A 24,871-nucleotide genomic window follows, 5' to 3' on the forward strand; every position below is an offset into this window, starting at 1 on the left:
TCACACCTCCTCACCCACTCCCCGCAATCACACTGTGGCAGGGGCAGTGATGGGCCAATGGCTTATTCATCTCTACATCCTCAGGGCCAGCATGCAAGAGCAGGCAGTATTTGGCCATTTGGCCAGGAAGAATTTCCTCCAGGAGGCTGGTCCTAGGGCATTTGAAGGAAGCTGGGTTTGATCCATTATCTACCCAGTAGGAACATCCTACTCAACAGCAGCAATTCCTAGCTCTCTCTACCCCAGCTCCAGGCCAGACCTGCCTAGGAGGCCTGAACCCTCCCCATCATCTCTCCAAACACAGTGCTCTTCAGGTCCCACAAAGGACTCAGGCTTTACCCAAGAGGGAGTAGCCTAGGGCCTTGTACTCAAAATGTGGTCCCTAAAGAAACAACATCTACATAGTATTCCATGGTGTATATGTGCCACATTTTCATTCTCAGCAAACTATCGCAAGGACAAAAAACCAAACACCGCATTTTCTCACTCATAGGTGGGAATTGAACAATGAGAATACATGGACACAGGAAGGGGAACATCACACACCGGGACCTGTTGTGGGGTTGGGGGAGGGGGGAGGGATAGCATTAGGAGATATACCTAATGTTAAATAACGAGTTAATGGGTGCAGCACACCAACATGGCACATGTATACATATGTAACTAACCTGCATGTTGTGCACATGTACCCTAAAACTTAAAGTATAATTAAAAAAAGAAAGAAACAACATCTACAGAACTTAGGAGCTAGGGAGAAAAGCAGAATCTTAGGCCCCACCCTAGACCTCCTGAATCAGAATCTATATTTTAATAAGATCCCCAGATGATTCATATGTCCAGCAATATTCAAAAAGTACTGGCCCCAGGCAGCCAAACAGAATCCATTCAGCTAAAAGGTAACTTTAATAACAATACTTTTCATTTGTAATAATATCTGGTAATTGCTTTACATCACTAAATCCTCAGAGCAATTTGAATATGCCCATTTTACCAATAAGGAAACCGAGGCTCAGAGTAGTTGGGTATCTCGCTCAGGATCACATGGGTTTGAGGGGCCAGAGCCCAAATGTGAAAGCAATTCTGATGGACTCACCTCCATAACTACACACTACATGACACCCTGCCCTTTGCAAATTCTGTCAACATTTAGCCTTCAAAACCAGCCCAAGCAGCTCTGGAGACTTCCCTGTCCCTTCATGCAGCCACTGATCTGGTGATTATCTCTATTCTACCACTTGCTATCCACATCATGATGCCTCTACATACACCACTGTCCCCAAGAGATTGCCAGTTGTCTCTGTATAAAGATTTTATGGGCTTCCCCTATAATCACTGGATGAGTCCATGAAAATATTTCCCCTTTGACCATCAAAGAACACTCTGAGGCTGGCTGAACAATTGCTATTAAATGAATGGTGAAGATACTGAGGTTCCTAGAGAAGTTCAGTGACTTGCCCCAGGTCACCAGGAGGCTTCAGAACTCTGAGGATGGAGCCAAACTCCCCTCCCCAATTCCCAGTACAGATGTCTTCTTCCCACTCTTTCACTTTCCCTAGATTTCTCTCTTCTGACCTACATTACCAAGCAGTTAACAAAAACATTCTTTTCAAAGAACTCCCCCACGTATGCATCTTCAAAAGGGGCTCTGCTCCACCAGCAGACGGGCAAAATTTAGACATTATCAAGAGGCCACCAAAGGAAAAGGTGAGGAAACTCAGGATGCCAGATCAGATACAATGACCCTCCTGGATCCAAGGAAAGGAAAACGTCTTCAAGCAAGAGCCTCCAACTAAAGCAGCCCATCCAAGCCCCTACCCAGTAACCTCACCGTCAAGACAAGACCCCTCTGAGAACTTCTGGAGGCTGGTGGAGACCTACCCACCCTCCCTGACCAGGCACCACCACCCGCCTGCAGGCTGCAGGATTGAGATTCCACCAGCCAAAGCAGCCCTTTTCCTCCCCTTTGTTGGCTTTAGAAAGAAACTAAGACTGGCTTGTCCAAAGAAAACCAAAACATCTGCCTGAAATATTCAAATATTTAGGGGAAAAAAGGGGAAAATCCCTCTTTGGGGGATTTTTTCTTGGGAAAAAAGAGAAGCCAGAAATGAGATCCTGGGACAACTAAGCAACTCTGTTTTTTGCTTTTCTGAGCACCACGCCACCATGATCATTGAGTACTGTGTGCACTGCCAAAGAAGCACTGATCAGGGGGCTAGTGGACACTGAACACCTGTCTGCCAATCCGTTGCCTGGGCATGGGGATCCATCTGCCCAGAAGGGAACACCTTTTGTGAATTCATACAAAGGCACCCTACAGGTTAGCATGGGCTACCTATTACCGATGTTAGTCATGTTTGGATAACATAGGAAGAATAAAAACATTGACAGTGAGAAGGGTCCATGTTTTTATCTGGATTCCTTAGAATCAGATCCTGAGATAAGAATTCCTATGAAAGTGTATTAGGAGATATTCCTAGGAAAAAATGGTAGGGATGTGAAGAAGTAAAACAAGAAAAAGTAGCAAGCCAAGCGAGGGAAACAAGCCAAGCAAAGAACCATAGAGGTCAATTTGACACAACTCCACATTGGATCTCTGGAAACAAAGGATGTCATGCTTCAGAGTGTCCCAATCAAGGGCAAAGAAGCTGGACTATTTATACTCCAGCACCCATCAGTCATTGAGGAGGGGCTGCCCCAGGGGAGATGTAAATTCCCAGGCACTCCCTGTTCTGAGTCCCTACAAACATAGGCTCTGCCGCCCAAGGGTCATCCTCCAACAAAGAGATGGAGGGACTGGCAATTGGAAGTGAAGGCACCCAGGGTACCAATACGCACCAAGATGGCAAAGCTCACCATAAAAGAACATGACTCAAAAATCTTTCAAACCTAAATGAAAGGAGTTACAGAACATCTTTCAGAAAACACTTTCTGCCCCTCTTTGTTCTTTCTTCAGTGAAGCAATTTAAATATTAAATTGAAATGCTTTTCTAAAGTTGGGCTGTGAGGCAAACCCAATACTCTTTTCTTTTTTTTTTTCTTCCTGAGGGTCTTGCTTCTTGCTACTTTATCCTAAGGATAAGCACAATGCTTGCCTATTGCTGTAGATGCCTCATTGATCAAGATCATTAGCTCAACATCAGCCCAACAGATCTCCACTGTAAGCAGTTACACAGACACTTCACAGCTCCTAATACAATCATCAAAGTGCAGGGCCACCTAATTAATGCCAAGAGGTTTTATGACAGCCAATGATGAAGGTGGGACCCTGCTTCAATTTAACAGCTGTCATCTTGGACAATACATCAAGGAAAGGAAATGGAATCAACTAGGAGGGGGTGAGGTGGAGGAATGACTAACTGTTAGGATTGAATAACAACGGAGTTCCCTCCACAACTTCTCACACACTTCCCCCCTCCCAGCAGGCAGATACTCTGAAAAGGTGTCCCCAGACGCCTCTGCCAAGGACTGGCACAGCCTTCTCCCTTCCTCACCACACCTCGCCCCCAGGGCCAGACATGGAAAGGAGTGTAAATGTGATCCTATATTTGAAATTAATTGATAGGATATTTCACGAGCTCAGATTTTTTTATATTAATTCCCAAATGCTCTGCCTGTATCCTTTTTCCTAATCATCTTTGGTTCTTCTGTGTTTCTTTAGTTCTAAGGAGGGTTTCTTGTCATTTAGATGGGTCAGAGACCTCTAGAGACCTGGATCCAACTCCAGCTCCGCTGCTATGGAGCCGTGTGACCCTGGGCAAGGCACGAGCTCTGTGGGCCTCAGTTTTCTCATCTGAGAAATGGGGATAATTCCATTCTTTACAGATTTGTGGAGAGGATGAAATACGCTTAACTCTAGGTGAAGCGCTTGGCATGTTGAGTTGCACAATAAATGTCAGCTCCCTCCCTGCGCCTTCTCCCTTCTGCAGCCTCACCGCACCTGCACCTTGAAAGACACCCAGTGCGTTTCCCAGGAAGGGCCCCCCTGCTGGCGAGGGAAATAAAATCAGCTCCGGAGAGCGTTATTCCCCTAGAAAGCAGGTTTCAGGTGGTGTACACCCGCACGCGCGCGCGTTTACACACACGTACACACACATACACACGTACACACACATACACACACACAGTCCTCCGTACACCCACGCGGGGTCTGGCACTGCTGCTACATCCCGCACGGAGCGGGGTCCAGAGTTAGGGCGAATGAGTCCTCCCGCCCCCGCCAAGGTGGCGCCCAGAACGGGTCGGTGCCGGAGCGCACGGTACTCACCCGGGGCAGGCCGCGCCGGGCAGGCTGGGGCTGGCCGGGCCGGGGGCGGCGGCGGCTGCGGGGCTGGAGTGGCGGCGGGCATGGCGCGGCGGCGGGCTCGGGGAGAGCCTGGAGCAGAGGTGGCAGCGCGGGGACGCGGCTCGACGGTCGAGCAGGCGCGGGAAGGCGGGGCGAGACGAGCAGCCACGAGCCCGCGCCGACTCTCCCTCTTCTCTCCCTCCCGCCGCCCGCCGCCCGCCTGCCAGCCCCGCGCCGCGCAGCGCCCGGCGACAGCCACCGGGAACGTCTCCGGGGGCGCGGGACTTAGCAACCGCGCACCAGCTGCAGCCGCCCTCTCTGCGCCGGTCCCGCCATGCGCGCCGCTCCTGGCCCTGGAGGCCGGGCGGGGCCGGGCTTTGAACTTGCTCCCACACCCCCTGCTTCTCCAGTGAGCGCCCAAAGGCGGTCCCGCCTCTCCCCGGTCAGCGGAGTCCAGCCTTTCTGCTCTCCTTCCCCGCGCAGTTCCGCGGTGGAACCTGGCTGCGCTGGGTTTTGAACGTGCGCTTTGCCCCTGTTCTCTGTGGGTGGGTGGCAGCCCAAAGGCGACCCCAGGACCACCAGCCATCCTCGTGCCTCCCTGCAGGGCAGGGGCCAGACTTTCCACACCACTTCCTTCCTCCTATCCCATTCCCGCTCCTTGGATACACTGACCGTAGGTCCCAGGGCCGTTCTACTCTAACACCCTTGTTGCCCCCCAGATTCAGAGACCTGCTTACACTCTGGTCCACACCCATGGTCTCAAAGACTTAGGCTGCAAAACGTTCCTCCAGCCTAGTGGCTTCTTGGTACCATCTGAAGGCAGCTCGATGGCCCCTTGCTTTGTTGTACCTCTTCCCAGCACCACACACCTGTTCCTCATATTTGCAGGTCCCTCAGGTCTGCAGTGCGGGGTCTGGGGACCCATATTCCCGGGTACTGACTCCCAGATCTCTCCTGCGTCAGATAATAAATTCACTGGATCAGCCATACCCTTCTCTCCACAGGGCCGTTGACATGATTACAGAGTGGTCTGGCTTTTGCCTTTATCAATCAAGTCACAAAGTGGTCTTGTCTGTTGGGTCTGATGTTGCTGTTCTGTGAAATTGTTTATGCTCAACAGAACGCCAAGGCCGAGCTGATAGAACCAGACCAGCTCCCAGATGGCAGGGGCTGTCTTTCTCTTTATCACACATAACAAGAAGCCTGGAAGAAGGCTCCTCTGTGTGTGTTCAGCTGCTCAGGGATGACGTTAAGGACTCAGTCTCTTTCCATGATTCCACATGGCCACCTTCAACATCTTGCCTTTTCTCCTCAGACTTGTTGCCTCAAGGTTCCAAAATGGCTGCAACAGCCATGCCATGATGCTGCTGTGCAAAAAATAACTCCTGGTTCTAGCTGGTTTGTTGGCCAGGTACTCTGAAGTCATCATCAAGGACAGTTTTCAGCAATCCAGTTCACCAATGGTGAACACAACAAATGCCCTGCCTTCAAGTCACTCACCTTCTAGTAGGGGGAGACAGATAATAAAATACACAAGTATGGTGATAAATAGTATGAAGAAAAATGAACCAAGAAAAAGGGAATGTGATTATGTAAGTTGAGTGGTTGGGAAAGGTAACATTTGAGTAAAAACCCGAAGGAAGAACCTATTGGAAATCTCTCTGGGAGACAAGTGTCCTTGAGATACTTACACACTTTCTTTTTAAAATCACTTACTTTTCTCTTTAACAGCCACTCTTCCTGGCCCTATCACCTATATTTTAGGAGAAAATAAAAGTTAAATAAACTGAGTTTTAGTAAAAAGGTTTAAGCTTTGTAAAGGAGAGATCAGATGACTTGTGTTTTCTTCCTTGCAAAAGCAGCAATCTCACAGTGTTTAATTATTGGCTGGATTATCATGATTTAAATACGAACTAGATATACACATATCAAGCAATCACAATGAACACCTTAAGTTATCAGATTACTTCACAAGAGTGAGGGATATATCTTGTTGAATATTGGCAAAGAAATTGCTAATTGCCTACTCAACACCTATTTTCATTTCTGATCCGGTATTTTAAAAAAAATGTTTTTTAGCTAAGCATACTACCACCTGCAATTTAAAAAAAATACATTTTCTAGCCTCCCTTGCAGCAAGGAGTGATGATATGAAAAGTTTCTGGCCAATGAAATATAATTGTAAGTGTTGTATTGGATTTTCAGTAGATGCCTTAAAGATGCTGATTTGGCTGACAGATGCACTCCTTTGTCCCTTTTCCTTCGTCCTGGAATCCAGGTATAATGATGTGGTAGGTGAGATTATTAATTTCAGTTATTCACTCCATTCCTCAATTGAATTGGACAATCCACCCTTTATGGTACTTGGAGTGTGTTTCCCTGTACCTTGACTTTAGGCTTGGCCATCTTTCTTTTTCTTTCTTTTCTTTTTTGTTTTGTTTTGTTTTTAACTTTAAACAATTTTTTATTACACAAAGGTTGTCACATAATTGGATATTTCTCTACTTTGTACATAATTATTCTCACCCTCCACAGAAAGTCTGCTTAACTTCTCATCTGGTGGTGGCAAGCACTAAAATCCTGATTTTAACAGAATAGTAGTAAAAATGCCTCAGTTATTTAAGTTGAAGGCAGTACATTGGTACATGACTCTTGTACCCAATATCAGGAATGTACAAATGTCTTTTTATTCAAAAATACAAAATAAAGTATTGATAGGCATGGACAATGACAGCAGTAAACCATTATATATTTTGTCAACTGAACCAGTAACTGATGGTTATAATGATTTCTTAAACATCAGCCAGCCTTTTCTTCATTTTCTCCAACTGACTTCTCTGAAGTTATTGGTGAGGAACACTGCCTTGACTTCCTGTCACAGTTCATTAATAAAAGTAAAGCACTATTCTAGGAGTTACAACATGCCCCCTCCCATACCACATCCCATTCCACCCATTGCACCCATTCCAGGGTCCTTCTCTTCTTTAGGAATTTCTGTGACTACAACTTCTGCTGTAGTTAACAGAGAGGCCACACCAGCAGCATCCAATAAAGCAGTTCTCACAACCTTTCTTGGGTCAATAATTCCTTTTCCCACCATATTCACAAAATCTCCGACCCTAGTAGCATCATAACCAACTTCTGAGGAACGTTGCATAATTTTCTCAACTATCGAAGATCCTTCAACACCTGCATTCTTAGCAATGGTCATTGCTGGAATTTTGAGTGTTGTTTTGATTGTTTATATACCAATTAGTTTATCTTCATTAGCTGGAGTCAATGAGTCCAAGGCTGGAATGCACCAAAGCAGGGCACAACCCCCTCCCAAAACAATGCCTTCTTCAACAGCAGCTCTGGTAGCATTAAGGGCATCTGTAACTCTGTCTTTCTTTTCATTCGCTTCAACATCACTTGTCCCACCAACCTTTGGCATAGCTATCCCATCTGAAAGTTTTGCCAGTCATTCAGTTTTTCCTTTTCATATTCACTAGTTGTGACATCTAACTGCTCAATGATTTCTTGAATATGTTTTTCAATTTGAGCATTGCCACCTTTTCCTTTTAAGAGCATGGCATCATCTTTGGTCACAATGACCTCTCCAACTTTTCCTAAGTCATGAGGCTGAACATCTTCAAAATGTAGGATCAACCCCTCTTCTCCAAACACTGCACCAACAGTAGTAACAGCCATATCTTTGAGCTGGTTCTTTGTCACAAAACCCTGGAGCCTTGACTGCCACAACCTGAAAATCAATCTTTAGGCTGTTCAAGACAAGTGTACTTAGAGCTTCTCCACCAACATCTTCAGTGATTATGACCAAAGGCTTACGGTGAGCACTGGCAGTTTCAAGAGCAGGTACAATGGACTGGACACTAGAAATTTTCTTTTCACTCAACAGAACATATGCCTCCTGGAATTCACATTTCTGACCTTTTGATGTATTAATAAAGTATGGAGAAACATAGCCTCGATCAAACTTCAAGCTTTCAATAATTTCTAATCCATCATTCAGTGTTTTCCCATCCTTTACTGTTATGACACCCTTTCTTCCCACCTTTTTCACTGCATCAGAGAGGATATGGCCAATTTCTTTGTCTCCACTTGCAGAAATTGTAGCAACCTGCGCAATTTCTTCAGGGGTGGTCACAGGTTTAGACTGCTTTTTAGGTTCAGCTATTACAGCATCAACAGCTAACATCACACCTCTCCTGATTTCCACTGGATTAGCACCTTTGCTAATCTTCTCAAAGCCTTCCTTGGCAATAGAGCATGCCAGTACAGTAGCAGTGGTAGGGCCATCCCCAGCCTCTTCATTTGTGTTATTGGCAACATCTTGAACGAGTTTAGCTTCAATATTTTTATATTTATTCTTTAAGTCAATTGACTTTGCAACAGTCACACCATCTTTTGTTACTTTGGGACTTCCCCAGCTCTGCTCAATAATCACTGTTCTTCCCTTTGGCCCCATTGTAATGGCTACAGCATCGACTAAAAGGTCTACACCTTGAAGCATTAAGGCTCAGGCATCTGCACTGAATTTTACATCTTTGGCATAAGCCCGAGTGAGATGAGGAACCAATACCCTGGACAATGGTCTTATCTAAAGACAGTGGGGAACCGAAGCATTTCTGTGAGGTGGTGGCAGGGCATGCCCGGGGCGTGGCGAGGCAGGTCGGCAGTGAGTGAGGCCTTTTTTTTTTTAAGACTTAGTTTCGCTCTTGTTGCCCGGGCTGAAGTCCAATGGCGCAATCTCGGCTTGCTGCAACCTCTGCCTCCCAGGTTCAAGTGATTCTCCTGCCTCAGCCTCCTGAGTAGCTGGGACTACAGGCGCACACCACGACACCTGGCTAAGTGACCATCGTTCTTACTTAGGCCAGTAGGATGTTATTGAACATAATGTGAACAGGGGGTTAGAAAGTACTCCCATGGTTTGGTTTGCCCGGGTATGCTTCTGCCAATAGCCTAAATATCTGCTGGTCCGAGATAAATGTGGAGAAATATGATGCAGACCTAAACTTCAACAGGTAGCTAAGTTCGGCCAACCTGCAGCCTGAAGCAGACCTGTAGGAAGGAGACAAAAAAAAATGCCCATTATTGTAAGCTACTGAGTTTTGGGCTGGTTTGTTACTCAGGATTATTGCAGCAAAAGTTAGCTAACATGATGGTTGATGATGATTGAAGCCCCAGCAGCCTACTTAGGTCATGTGGTGGCCTTAAAAGTGGAAGCCAAGCCCTAAGGATCACTGAGCAGAAACGTAGAATAACCCGTAGTCCCTTGACATCATGAAGCCACCACACCACCCCAAAGTATTAAATTTGCACTTCCTTTTTAAGAGAGAATAAATCCCTATATGATTAAGCTGCTATAGTAGGAGTCATCCCTTGTTATTACCTGTCAAATGATGATTTGTATCAATTCACTCAAAAAAGAAAACACTTTGTTTCATATTAAGAGAAACATTGAACACACACAGTATCAACATTTAAATGTAAAATAGAAGAAGAAAAGGACCATCATGCTTACAGTAAGCCACTTAACTAGGAACTCATTTAGCATAGCTAAAAAGAATGGAACAATAGCCATTGTGGTCTAGCCAAGGTGTCAGGGCTATTTTGGTTGCAGGTGAGCAAAATTCACTCAAGCAGCTTATTTTAAGTGGCAGGGAGCACAGGGCATTTTAAAGATATCTGAAAAAATCTCAAACACATCCAAGAGCTGATTGGTGACCACCTCAGGACCTTACTCTCAAATGTCCCCCACAATAGCTGTTTCAGAATCCAGTTTCTCCAAGGAGAGAATATAGTTGGCCCAGACTATTTATTCTAACCAGGCCACTTAAATCATTAGCCAGCACTGGATTGGCTGCTTTGGGATGGGTGTTCATCCCTGGTCCAAACAATTGTGGCTCAGTGGGAAAGAAGATAGAGGAAGAAGCATTGAATGACAGTCATTCTGAAGCTCTGCATGGGACATTTTAAGCCAGGAGGGGAAGTTACATATGGCAGGCAAATTGACTGGCATATCCAAGACACCCAGCAAGCTTTGTTGAGGAAAGAAAGAAAACGTTTCCAGGAATTCAAGCCTGGGTAGGATACCATTGTGTTTGTAGGAGTGGTTGGAGGAGAGAGCTAGACAAGAGGCATGATGAAGCCTCTAAGAAAAATGTCCCTACCTCATGGCATCAGCCAGGATGACTCCAGATTGAAATTCAAGAAAAGAGAAAAATTCTTAATTTTCTATAAATTGATATTCTAACAAATTTGCAATGTGTTTCTTCACTCTTGTCATCATGTTGATAGAACATCTTTACGTGCCTCCCCACCCCAAGATGTCACCATCTCTTTCCTTCCCTCCCCAGGTAAACTTCTTGAGAGATTACTTTATGTTCCCCAACTATACTCCCTAACCTCTGTTGAGCTCCTCAGACCAGCTACAATGTGACAAATTTCCCTATCTCTCCACATTGCTGCGTTAACTGGATTGCTAAAGACCTTTCATCTGCCAAACTCAGTAAACACAATTCAGTCTTATTTTATTTCATCTCACTGCAGCTGTGACCAGTCTTGAAACTCTCTCCTGTCCTGATCTTTATAGCACCAGTCATTTTTGATTCTACCCCTTTTTCCCAAGGCAACCATTTTTCCTGCTTTGTGGTTCTTCCTCCATTTGTCCTTACATGTTACCTCTCAGTTTTATTCTTGACTTTGCTAGACTCAACCTGGGTGATCTTATCTAATCCCTCAGCTGTAAATTCAGAGGGATCTCATCTCATCTCTCCCAAATCCAATTCAGTTGCCTACTAGAAAATTCCCATAGATATCTCATAGCTACCCTTTACAATACAGCCAAAACAAAACTCATCATCTTTCCCCCATATCCGTCCCTCCTACTGGATTCTCAGTCTTATATAACTTAGTTTCCCAAGCCACAAATCCAGGAATTACTGTCAACCCCACATTCAGTCACCAAATCCTCTGTTTTCTACTCTTCCTTCCTACCTCCCCCCATTGCCTTGTTGAAACTCCCATTGCATCCCTCTAGACCACCCCAAGCATCTCCTCTCTTACATTGCTGCATCCTCTCCATCCTTTTTTCCAGATTATCAGCCCTACTAGAGTCAAGGAAATCTTTCTCCATACTGATCTATATAATTATATAATTTCCCTGTTTAAAAATCCTCCAGTGGCCTTATGTCTCCTGAGAGTTAAAAGCTAGACTCCTTAGTAGGATCTTCAAGGCTTTTCCACCTCGAGTCCTATCTACCACTCAACCTTCATCTCCTGCCATTTTCCCACAGATACTCTGGGCTCCAGCTAGTACAAATTCCTTGCTTGATCTTGGCCACTATCTCTTCCATACCCTGCTCCATACTCTGCCGCTGTGCAGCCCTCACTCAAGCATTACTTCCTCTAGGTAAGTAAACTGCCAAGCCATGATTCAAGCTCATGATCTTCACCATTAACTATTCTGTCCCCCTGCCCCACCACCACCACCAGCAGAAGGATGGGAAAATAGGGTGGGCCAATGTGCTTAAAATGTCTACATCATGGCCAATCTGATCTCTCCCCAATGCTGACAACTGACCCAGACAGTGGTACATTCTCTCCAGCAGTGATTCTTACCTACCTTGAAGTCAGCCAAAATCTCTCAGTCTGGTTTGGCAGACTCTTCATGTTTGACTTGAGTTTACTCTAGTGAAAGGTTTCAAAAGGAAAAAGTCAAATCTCCTACCTGAGATAAAATGTGGGATTTCCTGTGGATATCACTGATCCATGTAATCTCTCTTCTTACTTTTTTTTCAGATAACTGTGTGTCAGCCTGTGTGTAGATGTGGTTTATGAAATATATCTAAAAATGTTACCACTTTTCCTGGATGCAAGCTCCTGCTTTTAAACAAATCAGTTTATCTCCAGTGTCTGGTAAAGTTGCCATCTGGACCCTCCTGATGCCCACAAATATGGCACTCCATGCTGTAAAAGCAAGAGGCAGATAATTGTTTCTGTATTATAGCAATAAAAACAAAATCCTTTGCAAAACTACTGATCAATTTTCAAATGCAGAATAGTAATAAGAGGAAAGTCTGAAATATTCTCAAGTCCTTAAGTACAGTAATAGATTCAAGGCAAGATTTCAAGTATCATAGGATATTATAACACTTTAAAAACTGCATAAGCATTTCTCAAAACACTTCCTATACTTAGACATACAGTTAGAAAACTGAACTGGACTTAAATATGAAAAAGCTAGACCATAGTATAACAATATATGTGATCTCCATTGAATTACCAAGCCTGCCTTCAAAAAAAAAAAAAAAAAAGAAGAGGGCCAGGTATGGTGGCTGTCACCTGAAATCCTAGTGCTTTGAGAGGCCAAGGCAGGAGGATCACTTGAGGAGTTTGAGGCTACAGTGAGCTGTGATCCCGCCTGGGCAACAGAGGCTGTCTCTAAAACAAAACACAAAACAAAGAAGAGATAATAAGTAAACAATAAGAATAAGGCATGTGTGCATACAAAGTTAAGAGTCATGCATATGTACATGCCCATTTTCAAAATATATATGTATGGTTCATGACTATATATGGGACACACTGAAACTGAAAGTGCTATGAAGAAATGTTTATCTTAGGGGCTCAAATTCTCTTATATAAAAATTCAAAATAAATTTATCTATGATTCAGTTGGCCTTGGACAAATTCTTTCTGTTCATCTTAATGTCAAAGGATAGGAAGTCACCTCAGATATGGGTGGTGTTCTCAACAACAGAGAGAAAGTGAACAGAGCTTTCCTGGTTCTTGAATTTAGCTTTAGGACTTGCTGCTCTAGGGCAGGGGTCTGCAAACTGTATGACCCTTGCAGCCAAATCTGGCTCACTGACAATTTTGAGAAATAAAGTTTTATTGGAATACAGTGCTCCTTATTTGCTGGAATGCCCACGCTTCTTCTACCACACCTTGCTGCCTGATCAGTTATTCATTTATTCATCAAATAAATAATTATTGAGGGCTTCAGGAGCATCTTCTATGTTCTAGATGCTATGCCAGGCACCAAGGACATAAAGATCATTAAAAATAATGGAGACTGACACCAGAGTAAGATCAATTTTTTTTTTTTTTTTTTTTTGAGACAGGGTCTTACTCTGTCACCCAGGCTGGTAGCTCACTGCAACCTCGACCTTCTGGGCTCCAGCAATCCTTCCGCTTCAGCCTCCCAAGTAGCTTGTAGCACAGGTGCACACCACTGCACATAGCTAATTTTTGTATTTTTTGTAGATATAGGGTTCCATCACGGCGCTGCACAGGCCGGTCTTGGAATTCCTAGGCTCAAGCAATCTGCCTGCCTCCGCCTCCCAAAGTGCTGGGATTACAGGCATGAGCCACCATGCCCAGCCAGATAAATTTTAAATAAGATTGATGTGACCCCCACCCCAGAAATCCTTACTCACAAACTAATTAAAAAATTAAGAATAAGCTGGGCACGGTGGCTCATGCCTGTAATCCCAGAACTTTGGGAGGCTGAGGCGGACGGATCATGAGTTCAAGAGATAGAGACCATCCTAGCTAACATGGTGAAACCCCATCTCTACTAAAAATACAAAAATTAGATGGGCATGGTGGTGCGTGCCTGTAGTCCCAGCTACTCGGGAGGCTGAGGCAGGAGGATCACTTGAACCTGGGAGGCAGAGGCTGCAGTGAGCCGAGATTGTGCCACTGCAATCCAGCCTGGTGACAGAGCGAGACTCTGTCTCAAAAAAAAAAAAAATTAAGAATAACAGTATCTTTATGAAAGATTATTCTATGATTTTATTTTTCTAAAAGATGTAGTGTTGATTAATTAGACTATAACCTTAAAGTATATGTGTGATATATAGAATGTTGATATGATATCAGAGAAGTTACCTGGCTCATAAAATTTAAGGCAATTTCTCAAGCCAATTTAGTTTTTATTTTATCTTTATTATATTTTTAAATTCTGTTAGCCACCATACCAGACATAATTCCGGCGTCACATTGACGTGGAACCCACAGATTGTGATTAGTCACACTCAGTCACTATGCTGTAGTCTCTAACTTGGATGTTATGACTTTTTAATATAATCTTGAGTAATCTTTTTTGCCTAAGTTTTAAAAATTGGAAGTTTGCCATCTTGACAGAGCATCTCAAATTTCCAACAGAGCTCTGTTTATTTAAGGGATGATTATATTATTATTTCCACTAAATTTTCACAGCCACATGAAGTCTTTTCTAGAAACCTGAAAGTAGTAAAGAAAATAGTATTATAAACATTGCAACTCTAAATAATGTTTTAAATGTACATAGTGAAGAAGATTCCAGTAGAAGTAGTAAATATTAATCTGTCTGTGCCAGAACAAGTGAATAATGCTAGAACTAATGTGTGATTTCACATAGTTATAAGATTTTGTTTTTGTTTTTGTTTTTTTTTAAAGCCAACTGGAAGTTCAACAGATAAGAAATAAAATCTGACAATCCCTGGATCAGCAGTCTCCTAACCCTGATCCTCAAGAGCTGTCTATCTTGAAACTCTGTCAAAAACTTGCAGGAAATCACCTATACTTTTTGTCATTTTTCAAACTAAGCACATTGACACAGCCATAGTTATAGACAATCCAATGACTTCCCCAACCCCCAGAATAAAGCATGTGTTCCAGCATAAAACTGATAAATTAATAATTAATGGACAAAAAAAAAAAAGACTAAAGCAATGGGTGCATCACTCCAAGTTATACTCCTCACAGCAAAAACAGAAGAAAGTATCCCATAAAACCAGTCACAACCATCATGAAAGAATCACGCGTGGAGAGAAAGCAGAAAATGCTATTGGCAAAAGTCCCCTGTGACTTCCAATGACAATATGGAGAGTCACATAAAATCAGTGGAATACAATAGGAAAGAGCAATCTGTATTATGAGTGTGTGTGACAGAAGTGACTTCAGCTTAGATTTGAACGAAGCATTGCAAAATATAATCCTACACTTGACATGTATGCCACAGGTATAAGGGAGAAGTGCTGAATGACTTTTGTGCTCCACAAGAAAAGATTGGGGTGTTGTGTTGTAAACTGGAAAATAAGTGTTAACATCAGGGCTGATGGAACATCAGCCACACAAAAAGCAAAAAAGAATATTCCTATACAGTTAAGAGTCTGCTCCTGCAGGCCCACCCATATACAGCTTTAGTGACAGAGAACAGTCAGTGGTCAAAAGTGTGACCTCTTGGCCATAGTATAATATCAAAGGAGCCAGTGAAAATCCTGGATCAAATCACAGCAAGTGTCTGCCTTCTCAGTTGCTCCAAGAAGAAATGGGCAACAAGAATAGCTCTGGTTTCCCCACACTCGAGTATGATTACAGTCAGAAGTGTGTTTACATAAACTATGGAGACAAAGATGAGCTTATAAAAATGGTGTTCCCATGCCATAAGAAAAGACTTCTTTTATGATTCCAAGTGGCAAGTGTCAGTGATATATTCAGTATCTTAGAGAGGCTAAGCTTTTAACTTCAGGGCTAAAATATCACAGTTGTAAATATCAAAGATAAGTTATCAGAATTTCATAAGGAGGTTGAGCTGTGGTGCAAATGAATCTATCACTGAGTAGAATTTTTTTTCTAACACTTTATTTTCTCCATTCATCACAGAAAGAAGTCAATATCATATTATTGGGCATGTTTAAAAGTCACATTCAAACACCGTACCAGACCATGAAGAAATTCTTTCCCAGGCCAAATTAATCAAGTACAAGATAAGGGAAGCAAGTAGTATTCTCTTCCAAAATCAAACATTCACCCTTCTGAACTCTGAGTGCAATGCAACTGTCGATCTAACAGACTTTGAGTGAGTGTGGTCTTCAGCAAGAAATTGCTCCATAACTTCTATGTGATAGTGCAATTCCAATATCCAAACCAAATAGCAGAGCTAGATCCTGGACCTGTGTCCTGAGTGCCTAAAAAGAGTAGGAAGAAAACAGCTAGTCAGATAGCCTGATCTGTTGCTCAAGCTGACAGATATAGATAGCTTAGAAAACAAAAAACAAAAAAAAATATGTATACTCTTTTCCCTCTTGGTGCTGATCTATTTTATTTATTATCAGTCTTGATTTTAATATCATGCTTTGTAATATTTAAAAATTGTGATTATTTATTTAACTAAAGTTGGTAAATTGCTTGGTCCAAATCCCCATGAGTGGTTTAAATTGAAAAACAGAATAAATTCCTGAATAAGCATGTTAAAAAGAAAAACAACTGAAGCACAGCTCTTTTTGCAATCTGAGAGCAAGGCAGTCATGGCTCCGTCTTAATATCCATTGTCTTTTGTATGAGTCCTTGTCTTTGTCTTTTACACTTGCATAGAATCTTCCTAGTTTGAAATTTCAAAAATTCTGCAAGTGTTGCATGAATCTTTAGACCATCCCACTTACACTGAGAGTGGGTGGAGAACATGAGACCCAGGGAAATGAAACAGCCTCTTCTGTGTCAGAGAAGAGAATAAGGAAGAAAAAAAAATGTCCTAACTTTTTTCTGGTTCACTTTTAGTAATGTCGTTTTTCACAGTATTTTAGCAATAAGAAAATGTGGACAAACCCCCTTGAATTATACTTAAGTCAGAGAAGGTAGCAAATGTAGATTTTAAAGGGCTATTTTCAGGAAAGCATTTAAAAAGCACAATTATCTAACAAGCAAAACTGATAATTATGTAATTCCACAGCATTTGGCAAGATGATAACTTTTGTTTTAAAGAATGGGTAGGATTTACTTTATGCCTTTGTGCATACAGAACTTTGTGCCCCAGATCTCTAGAGATCTCTGGTGCAGAACAACAAGGTTATCGTCAATCAAATGTCTTGCAGAGATAGTCACTATTTATCTTAGTCTTTAGGAAAACAGAAGTTGAAGAGTGCAAAGTGAAATTGCTGGTAATGAAAATAGTCAAGGTATAGTTTAAAGAATATTTTCTCTGACAAATGAAAGCAAATGACACACAATCAGTGACAGAAGACTTGGTTCCCAGAAGAATGGTACCTCCTACACCTTGAATTTTAAGAAGGTATCACCTTGGTTCTTAGACAGAACCTCAATTATACAGCATCTATTATGTGCTAAGCTCTGTGTTGCTAGCTTTATTCGAATTGTCTTAGTTATTCTGATCTTTGTGTAGAAATTGTTATGCCCATTTCAAAAATGAATCAGATGGAGTGAGTCCCCCAAAGCACACAGCTAATAACAAAGGTAGGTCTGCTTGACACCAAAGTCTATGTTCATTTACTACACCATACTGTTGCAGGCTGGAATGCAAGTGTATTCGTTTTTGCTGTGTAATAACCCCAGAACTTAGTGACTTATAATCAAAACCACTTACTTAGGTAATGAGTTGGTGTTAATGATTTAGGCAGGGCTCAGATGGGCAGTTCTTCATGTCTTGACTGTGTTCACTCACGCACCTGCAGTCAGCTGATAGGTTGGCTGGGGGTTGTCTGGTCTAAGACAGCCTTGGCTGGCAGACTTGCCTCTGCTCCAAGCAGTCTCTAGTCATTTAACAGGTGAGCCCAAGCCTGAGCACATGGTAGCTGGGCAGTATCCCAAGAGAACAAGCAGCAGTGTGTAAGACCATTTGAGATCTAGGCTCTGAATTAACACAACATCCTTTCCATCACATTCTATTGTCCAAAGCAAGTCTCAATTCTAGCTCAGATTTAAGTAGAAGATACAGACTTCACTTCTTGAAGAGAGGAACTGCAAACCACATTGCAATTACCTCTGTGATTTTCTTCCTGAAACCCATGGTCTCTCTTTAACCATGAGAAAGCACCAGAGAAACCCAATTTGAGACATATTCTACAAGGTACCTGCCAGTGCTCTTCAAAAGTGTCAAGGTCATGAAAGACAAAGAAAGCCTGAGGAACTGTTACAGATTGAAGGGGAAAACCAAGCAGACATGACAACTAATGCAGCATAAGGTTATGAATTGAATCCTGAAACAGAAGGACACTGGTAGAAAGACTGGCTAAATCTAAACCAAGTCTATAGTTTTATTAAAAAATAAAGTGCCCTGGTTTGGATAAATTATAAGGTTACTTTACTCCTGTCTAACCGAAAGGAATGCTTTCCACATTACATTTTTAAGCATGATATTTGCTGTAGTTTTAATTGATGACATTTATTGAGGTTAAATAAATTCCTGTCTATTCTTAGTTTGCTAAGAGCTTTGCATAATACATTTATGTTGATTTTTAGTAAATTTTTTTCTTTATCTGCTGGAACAATCATATGGTTTTCATCCCTTGATATGGTAATAATTAACCATATGTCAATGTATGTAATTGGTTTTCTGGAATTAAAACAATCTTATGTTCTTAGAGTAACCGAACTGGATTATAATTTATTGTGGTTTTCATGCATTGCTGAATTTGGTTTGATAATATTTTCTTTAGGATGTTTGAATCTCTATTTATGAGTAAAAGTGGTCTATAATTTACCTTACTCATCCTCTCCTTTTATATTAAGTTTTTAATATGTTGAGATTTTTATATCAAATTTATGACAGGCTGCTTCTTAAAATAAACTATTACATTTTCTTATATTGTTTGGAACAGTAAATTTAAGATTAAAATTAGTTGTTCTATGTTTTATAAAACTTACCTGTAAAGCCGTCTGGGCCTAGTATTTTCTTAGTGGGAAGATTTCGAACACCTGATTCAATTTATTATGTCACTATAAGACTACTCAGTTCAAGCAATTTGGAAGGCTGAGGAGGGCGGATCACTTGAGGTCAGGAGTTCGAGACCAGCCTGACCAACATGGCAAAACCCCACCTCTACTAAAAATACAAAACTTAGCTGGGCATGGTGGTTCACGGCTGTAATCCCAGCTACTCGGGAGGCTGAGGCAGGAGAATCACTTGAACCCTGGAGGCATAGGTTGCAGATCAATGCAAGGTCACACCACCACACTCCAGCCTGGGCAACAGAGGGAGACTTCATCTCAAAACAAAACAAAAGAAAACAAACAAACAAACAAAAAACTATTCAGACTCTCTGGTTCTTCTAGAGTTGATTTTCACAAGCTATGTGTCTCCAAGAATTCTCTCATTCATCTAAATTTTAAATTTTATTGACGAAAAGTAATTCATAATGTCCTTTTAGTTTCTGTTTAATTTCTGCAGCACAATAATCTATTGATTATTGAGAGTTATATTTTTAATGTCTCACTGTAATAGATTTGCCTACTTTTCCTTATTGATCTGTCCATTTTTACTTTATATATTCTGATATCATGTTATTAGCTGCATACAAGTTTTTTTATTTATTTGTTTGTTTGTTTGTTTGTTTGTTTGTTTTGAGATGGAGTCTCGCACTGTCGCCCGGGCTGGAGTTCAGCGGCGCGATCTCGGCTCACTGCAACCTCTACCTCCCAGGTTCAAGCGATTCTCCTGCCTCAGCCTCCCAAGTAGCTGGAATTACAGGTGCCCACCACCATGCCCAGCTAATTTTTTGTATTTTTAGTAGAGACAGGGTTTCACTATGTTGGTCAGGCTGGTCTCAAACTCCTGACTTCGTGATCCACCCGCCTCGGCCTCCCAAAGTGCTGGAACTACAGGTGTGAGCCACTGTGCCTGGCCTAGCTGCATACAAGTTTTAAAGGATTGTTTTCCTAGTGAATTATACATTTTGCCATTACATAGTGGCTCCTTTTATCTGTGATAGTGCTTTTAATTTAAAGTGTATTTTTGCCTGATATTAACACACCTATTACAGCTTTCTTTTGATCAATATTTGCTTTTTACTATCCTTGACTTTAAATTTCTCTATGTTCCTATGTTTCAAAGTTTATTATAAATATCAGACAGCCAAGTTTTGAGATTTTTATTTGATCTGAAAATCTTTTAAACTATAAAATACACTGTGTTTCCTCTTATATTTAAATCTATTTCCACTTTCTCATTATGTGTTTTCTACTTGTCCCATTTTAAGTTTATTTTTCCCTCCTTTCTTGCTCTATTTGGATTGATGTCTTCTTTTTTTTCTTTTTCTTATTCCATTTTCTCTGTACTTGTTTGTGAGTTATGGGCTTTATGCTTACACTTAAAGCTTATACTTTAGTATTTTCAAGTTATCCTTATAACTTGAATATGCATGCATTTTTAACAGCCTAAATTTAATCAATACTTTACCTTTCTCCTGATTAATATAAAGAATTTAGACTGCTTTAACTCTGATCAACCGCTTTTGGCTTACATTGTTTTCCAGTATTTTAGTTATAGCCTATTGTCCCTATGATTTAGTCAATATTGTTATTTTACACGGTCACATCTAGATAGATAGATAGATAGATAGATAGATAGATAGATAGATAGATAGATAGATGATAGATAGACGATAGACAGATAGATGATAGATAGATAGATAGATAGATAGATAGATAGATAGATAGATAGATGATAGATAGATAGATGATAGATAGATGATAGATAGATAATAGATAGATAGATAGATAGATAGATGATAGATAGAAAATAGATAGATGATAGATAGATAGATAGATAGATGATAGATAGATAATAGGTAGATAGATGATAGATTGATAGATAGATAATAGATAGATAGATGATAGATAGATAGATAATAGATAGATGATAGATAGATAGATGACAGATGATAGATAATAGATAGATAGATAGATGATAGATAGATGATAGATGGATAGATAGATAGATAGATAGATAGATAGATAGATATACTAGTATCTTGGTTTACTTTTGTTGGGGTTATAGACCTTCTTTCTGGTTTTTTTTTTCTTTGGACCTTCTTTCTGAAGTACATCCTTTAGGATTTCCTTCAACAAACGTCTTTTAGTTACAAAGTCATCTGCTTTTGTTTTTCAGAAGTGTCATATTTTATTCTCATTTTGAATAATAGTTTCACTGGGTAAAATTTTAGGTTGATAGTTTTTCTCCCTCAGTATATTGAATACAAAGATATTAGTATGTTTGTTTGGTGTCTTCTGGCTTCATTGTTGCTACTGAAAAGTCAGTAGTCATACTAATTGCCATTATTTTAAGATAATTTACTTTCTTTCTCTGACTATAAGATCTATTTTTCTTCAATGTTCAGTAGTTTCACTATGATGGGTCTAGGCATGAATTTCTTTTTAATTGTCTTGCTTGAGATCCATTGGTCTTCTTAGAGAAGTAAAAGGAAGATGATATCCAGCCAACATACCCCTAAACCATAAGCTCTGAGTCAGGGCCATATCCAACCAAAGAAAATTATTATTTCTTGCACATAAATGTTTAATGAGCTGACCCAACTATGAGCTCTTGGGCTGCATCTGCTCAGTGTCTTCTTCTAATTCATCTTCTTAGAAGGAGGATCTTTTTGTAAACACACTAAGACATCGTAATGTTCCAAACTGCTAGAGGTGAGTATTCATCAATACGTATAGGGCACACAGCAGTGGTTTAGTGGTTTAGATGTCACTTTACCATTCTCTTTGCCACAAAGAATTTGTATGCAAAACTGGGTCTCTTTAGAAAGAAATAAATATGCATTTTTGACTTTCAGTTAAATTTGGCAAAATTAAGCCTTTTCTATCCCACTCTCTCTTCTGAAGCCAAAAAAAAAAAATAGTAAGTAAAATAGCTCTGCCTTTGGTGAAACTAGGAAACAATAAATATCAAAATTCTCAATCTAAAAAGATCAGCTGCCAAGTGCAACGAAAGCTGAACCAAAAAGAGGGGAGCTACTGGAAAATGACTTATGTCTTTGCAGACCCATAGCAGAAAACAGGGAAATGGTCTGAAAAACTAAACCATTATGCCCTTGCTTAGAGCAGAGGGGGCTGGGAACATCCCTGTGCTATACTCTTCACGGAGTGGTTGGAGAGGAAGGGAGCTGACAAGAAGGCTCACAGACCATTATCTTTGTAGGATCTTTGGAGTCAATGTGACAGGGTAAAAATTAGCTCTGCAAGTGCTGATATTCAACAGCTAAAATTGAAGGCAAATGCTAAATCTCTATACATGAGTTTCTAAATGAGCCAAGTAGGCCCGCTGCTCAGCCCTGGCGGAAGTATTTCCTTGGGGTATGGTAAGGTTTGTGAAAAAAATGTTCTAAGCCAGTATCTTCAATCTAAGGTGCATACAGTTTTAGTTCACTTCTCAAATCTCTTAGCCTTGCTCTTCTTTAGAGGGTAGAAACCAGAAAAGAACAGTCTACATTCACAGATGAGCAATAATGAGAAACAAACCACTTTAGGATCTAGCCTAGGTAATATAGGAGAAAAAGAAGAAGAAGCAGATGAAGAATAGGCATCAGAAGCTCACCATGAATTACAGGGAAATTTTGAACAAATGATTGTCCATCATATCAACCAAATTGAAGAATCTATGGTTTTTCTAAAGCAAATGCTCAGGGAATACATGATGATATAATAGAAAGAAGTAAAAGAGAAGCTGGCAGAACTCAGGAGATATGTGAAAGTGGAAACTAAATTTTTTATAAAAATAAAAGCCATATTAGAAGGAGCAAAACCACGAACAGACATTAATGGAAACATAGTTAAGCATGTAGAATTCAGACAGACTTGAGAAAGAAAGTTAAACCAAAAAATGTTAAAGAGTATTAGAAAAACGATAAATAATAAAAGCCATGCATAGGAAATCCATCATGAAAATAATTTACATCTCTGAAGTGAACTGAGCAAATGAAGCAAGAAGATAATATCCAGAGATACAATGGAAGGAAACGTTCCTATTTTTTAAAAACCTCAAATCTTTAGATTGAAAAAGTTCAGAAACACTAACACTGAGCCATATCTTGGTAAAGTTACTGGCCCTGAAATGTAAAGAAAGAATGGACATATGAAAGAAAATTAAATGACTCATAATGAAGGGAAGCAAATCAGATAACACTTTCCCACTGCAACATTCTAAGCTTGAGAAAGTGGAACAAAACTTCCAAAGTCTTCAGAGAAAGGAGACATGACCACTTGACAATGTTCACTCCAAATGACATTTACGCATATAGGCAATGACATTTTCAAACATGTAGGATCTCAAGAAATATATTAATAGTATCTATGAGCCCTTCTTGGTGGAGGTACATGGTGATAAATCCAACAACAGGACATGAATGAAAGACTTGTAATAAAAAAACTGATGGAAAACATTTAAACCATTTCAATACAAAGCCAAGGCTAGATAGCCATCCAAAATGTAGACTCTAAAGAATAATTGCCAAAGAGAATATAAACATTATGAACAATGCATATACTTAATCTGTCTCAGTAATTGGTTTCCATAGACATGGAAATAACACATCTTTGGATCTCACTGTTTAGATGTTTTTTGCTTTGAGTATGTGAGTATGTAATCCTTGTTTTTTTAATCAAAGTAAATATCTTTTTGTTGCTGTTGTTTATGGAAATACTACTTACTTGGCTCCTTCTCATTTTACTGTGAGCCTGGACTTAAGGAAACTGTTCACAAGAAATCAGAGATATTATTTGTGAGTCTACTCTTTACCTAGCAGCAGTAGAATTTCCAATCTAAAGGCAGAGAAAAATAAGTGAATCAGGTTAACATTCATACCTATCTTATTGACTTAAAGGAAATTTCTAAATGCAATGCCTGGAACCTAAAAAAATGGCACTGGAATGCAAAACGTGGGACTAATAAATTTAATTTGAGGCTTAAGAGTTTTCAAATAATTCACCAAATTTCACAGTCCAGTTGGTAATGATCTGAAGGTAAAGCCAGCCTCAGTCATGATTCTCATTTGAGGAGTCCTTCACAGAGCAAGTTCCCAGATCTTAGCTTATTTCATCCTCAAAGCAAACATGTAAAGCAGAGAGAGAAGTTATTATCACCATTTTACATGTTTAAAAAAAAAAATCAGACACTCCAAGTGGTTAAGTGACTTACCCAAGGTTATTCAGCTAAATCAGTCATAATGGCTATGAGAAGTTGAGTGGGAATTTGGGGCTTTAAGAGACACATCTTGAGCCCTCAGCTGAACAATACTGATTAAATTCCAAGCAAATGTCATCAGATGAAATTTGGTTATCTTTACATCTGGGAAATTGTTAGAGGAAAACATCTGGATCAGACAGGAAATTCCAAGAAAATCCCAAGAGTGTAAGTGTGGGAGTTTATTGTAAACTTCCCAATGCTCAATGAAATTTTTCTTCTTTAAGTGTGTTAGAGACAAAGTCAGTGCATCATGGGAATTGCCCAAAGGAAATCAGCTCCATGGAAAAAAACGTGTTCTAGAGACATAAAATTGATGCTGCTCTGTTAACAGACGCCAATGACTCTTCTGAGACTTAAATCATGGAACATTCAACATGACTCAGGGACATTCCGGGGACCAGCTAATGAGACTCCCAAGATACCTGCTTTCTGTTCAGCCTACACCACCCAGAGGAAGCTGGCTAATGTGAGTGAGAGTTGCTGAAGTGTTCTGGGTAGTTAGGCCAGGGTAACAAGGAGCTCCCTTAAAAAAAAAAGAACTCAAGAAAGAATTCATAGATGTGGCTGCTGTGCCACAGTCTCCATTCTAATATGGACTCTGTGGACAA

General features: G+C 40.7%; 1 protein-coding gene, 2 long non-coding RNA genes and 1 pseudogene across 5 annotated transcripts in view; all 4 read right to left on the reverse strand.

The window, feature by feature from the left end:
* DCLK3 (doublecortin like kinase 3) overlaps positions 1-4,636 on the reverse strand; it is a 52,133-nt gene extending 47,497 nt beyond the window's left edge. For both annotated transcript variants that reach the window (XM_047449090.1, NM_001394672.2), the window contains exon 1: positions 4,265-4,636. In XM_047449090.1, coding sequence (XP_047305046.1) covers positions 4,265-4,346 — 82 coding nt within the window. In that variant the 5' untranslated portion in view covers positions 4,347-4,636. The remainder of the gene's footprint in view (positions 1-4,264) is intronic.
* Positions 6,729-8,970, reverse strand: HSPD1P6 (heat shock protein family D (Hsp60) member 1 pseudogene 6; annotated as a pseudogene).
* LOC105377029 (uncharacterized) lies at positions 9,071-12,668 on the reverse strand. 2 transcript variants are annotated; one of them, XR_940721.2, is made up of 3 exons: positions 12,629-12,668; positions 12,145-12,253; positions 9,071-9,343 (listed from the first exon to the last, which is right to left on the reverse strand). It is a non-coding gene; the product is annotated as an uncharacterized LOC105377029 (long non-coding RNA). The 2 variants fall into 2 exon arrangements; XR_001740654.1 differs by having other exon boundaries at positions 12,015-12,253.
* A 3,241-nt stretch (positions 12,669-15,909) lies between these two features.
* Positions 15,910-24,368, reverse strand: LOC105377030 (uncharacterized). The gene is made up of 3 exons (XR_940722.2): positions 24,216-24,368; positions 17,655-17,862; positions 15,910-16,242 (listed from the first exon to the last, which is right to left on the reverse strand). It is a non-coding gene; the product is annotated as an uncharacterized LOC105377030 (long non-coding RNA).
* Between the last annotated feature and the right edge of the window lie 503 nt (positions 24,369-24,871).

Source organism: Homo sapiens, chromosome 3 (assembly GCF_000001405.40).
Source record: "Homo sapiens chromosome 3, GRCh38.p14 Primary Assembly".
Lineage (NCBI taxonomy): Eukaryota > Metazoa > Chordata > Mammalia > Primates > Hominidae > Homo > Homo sapiens.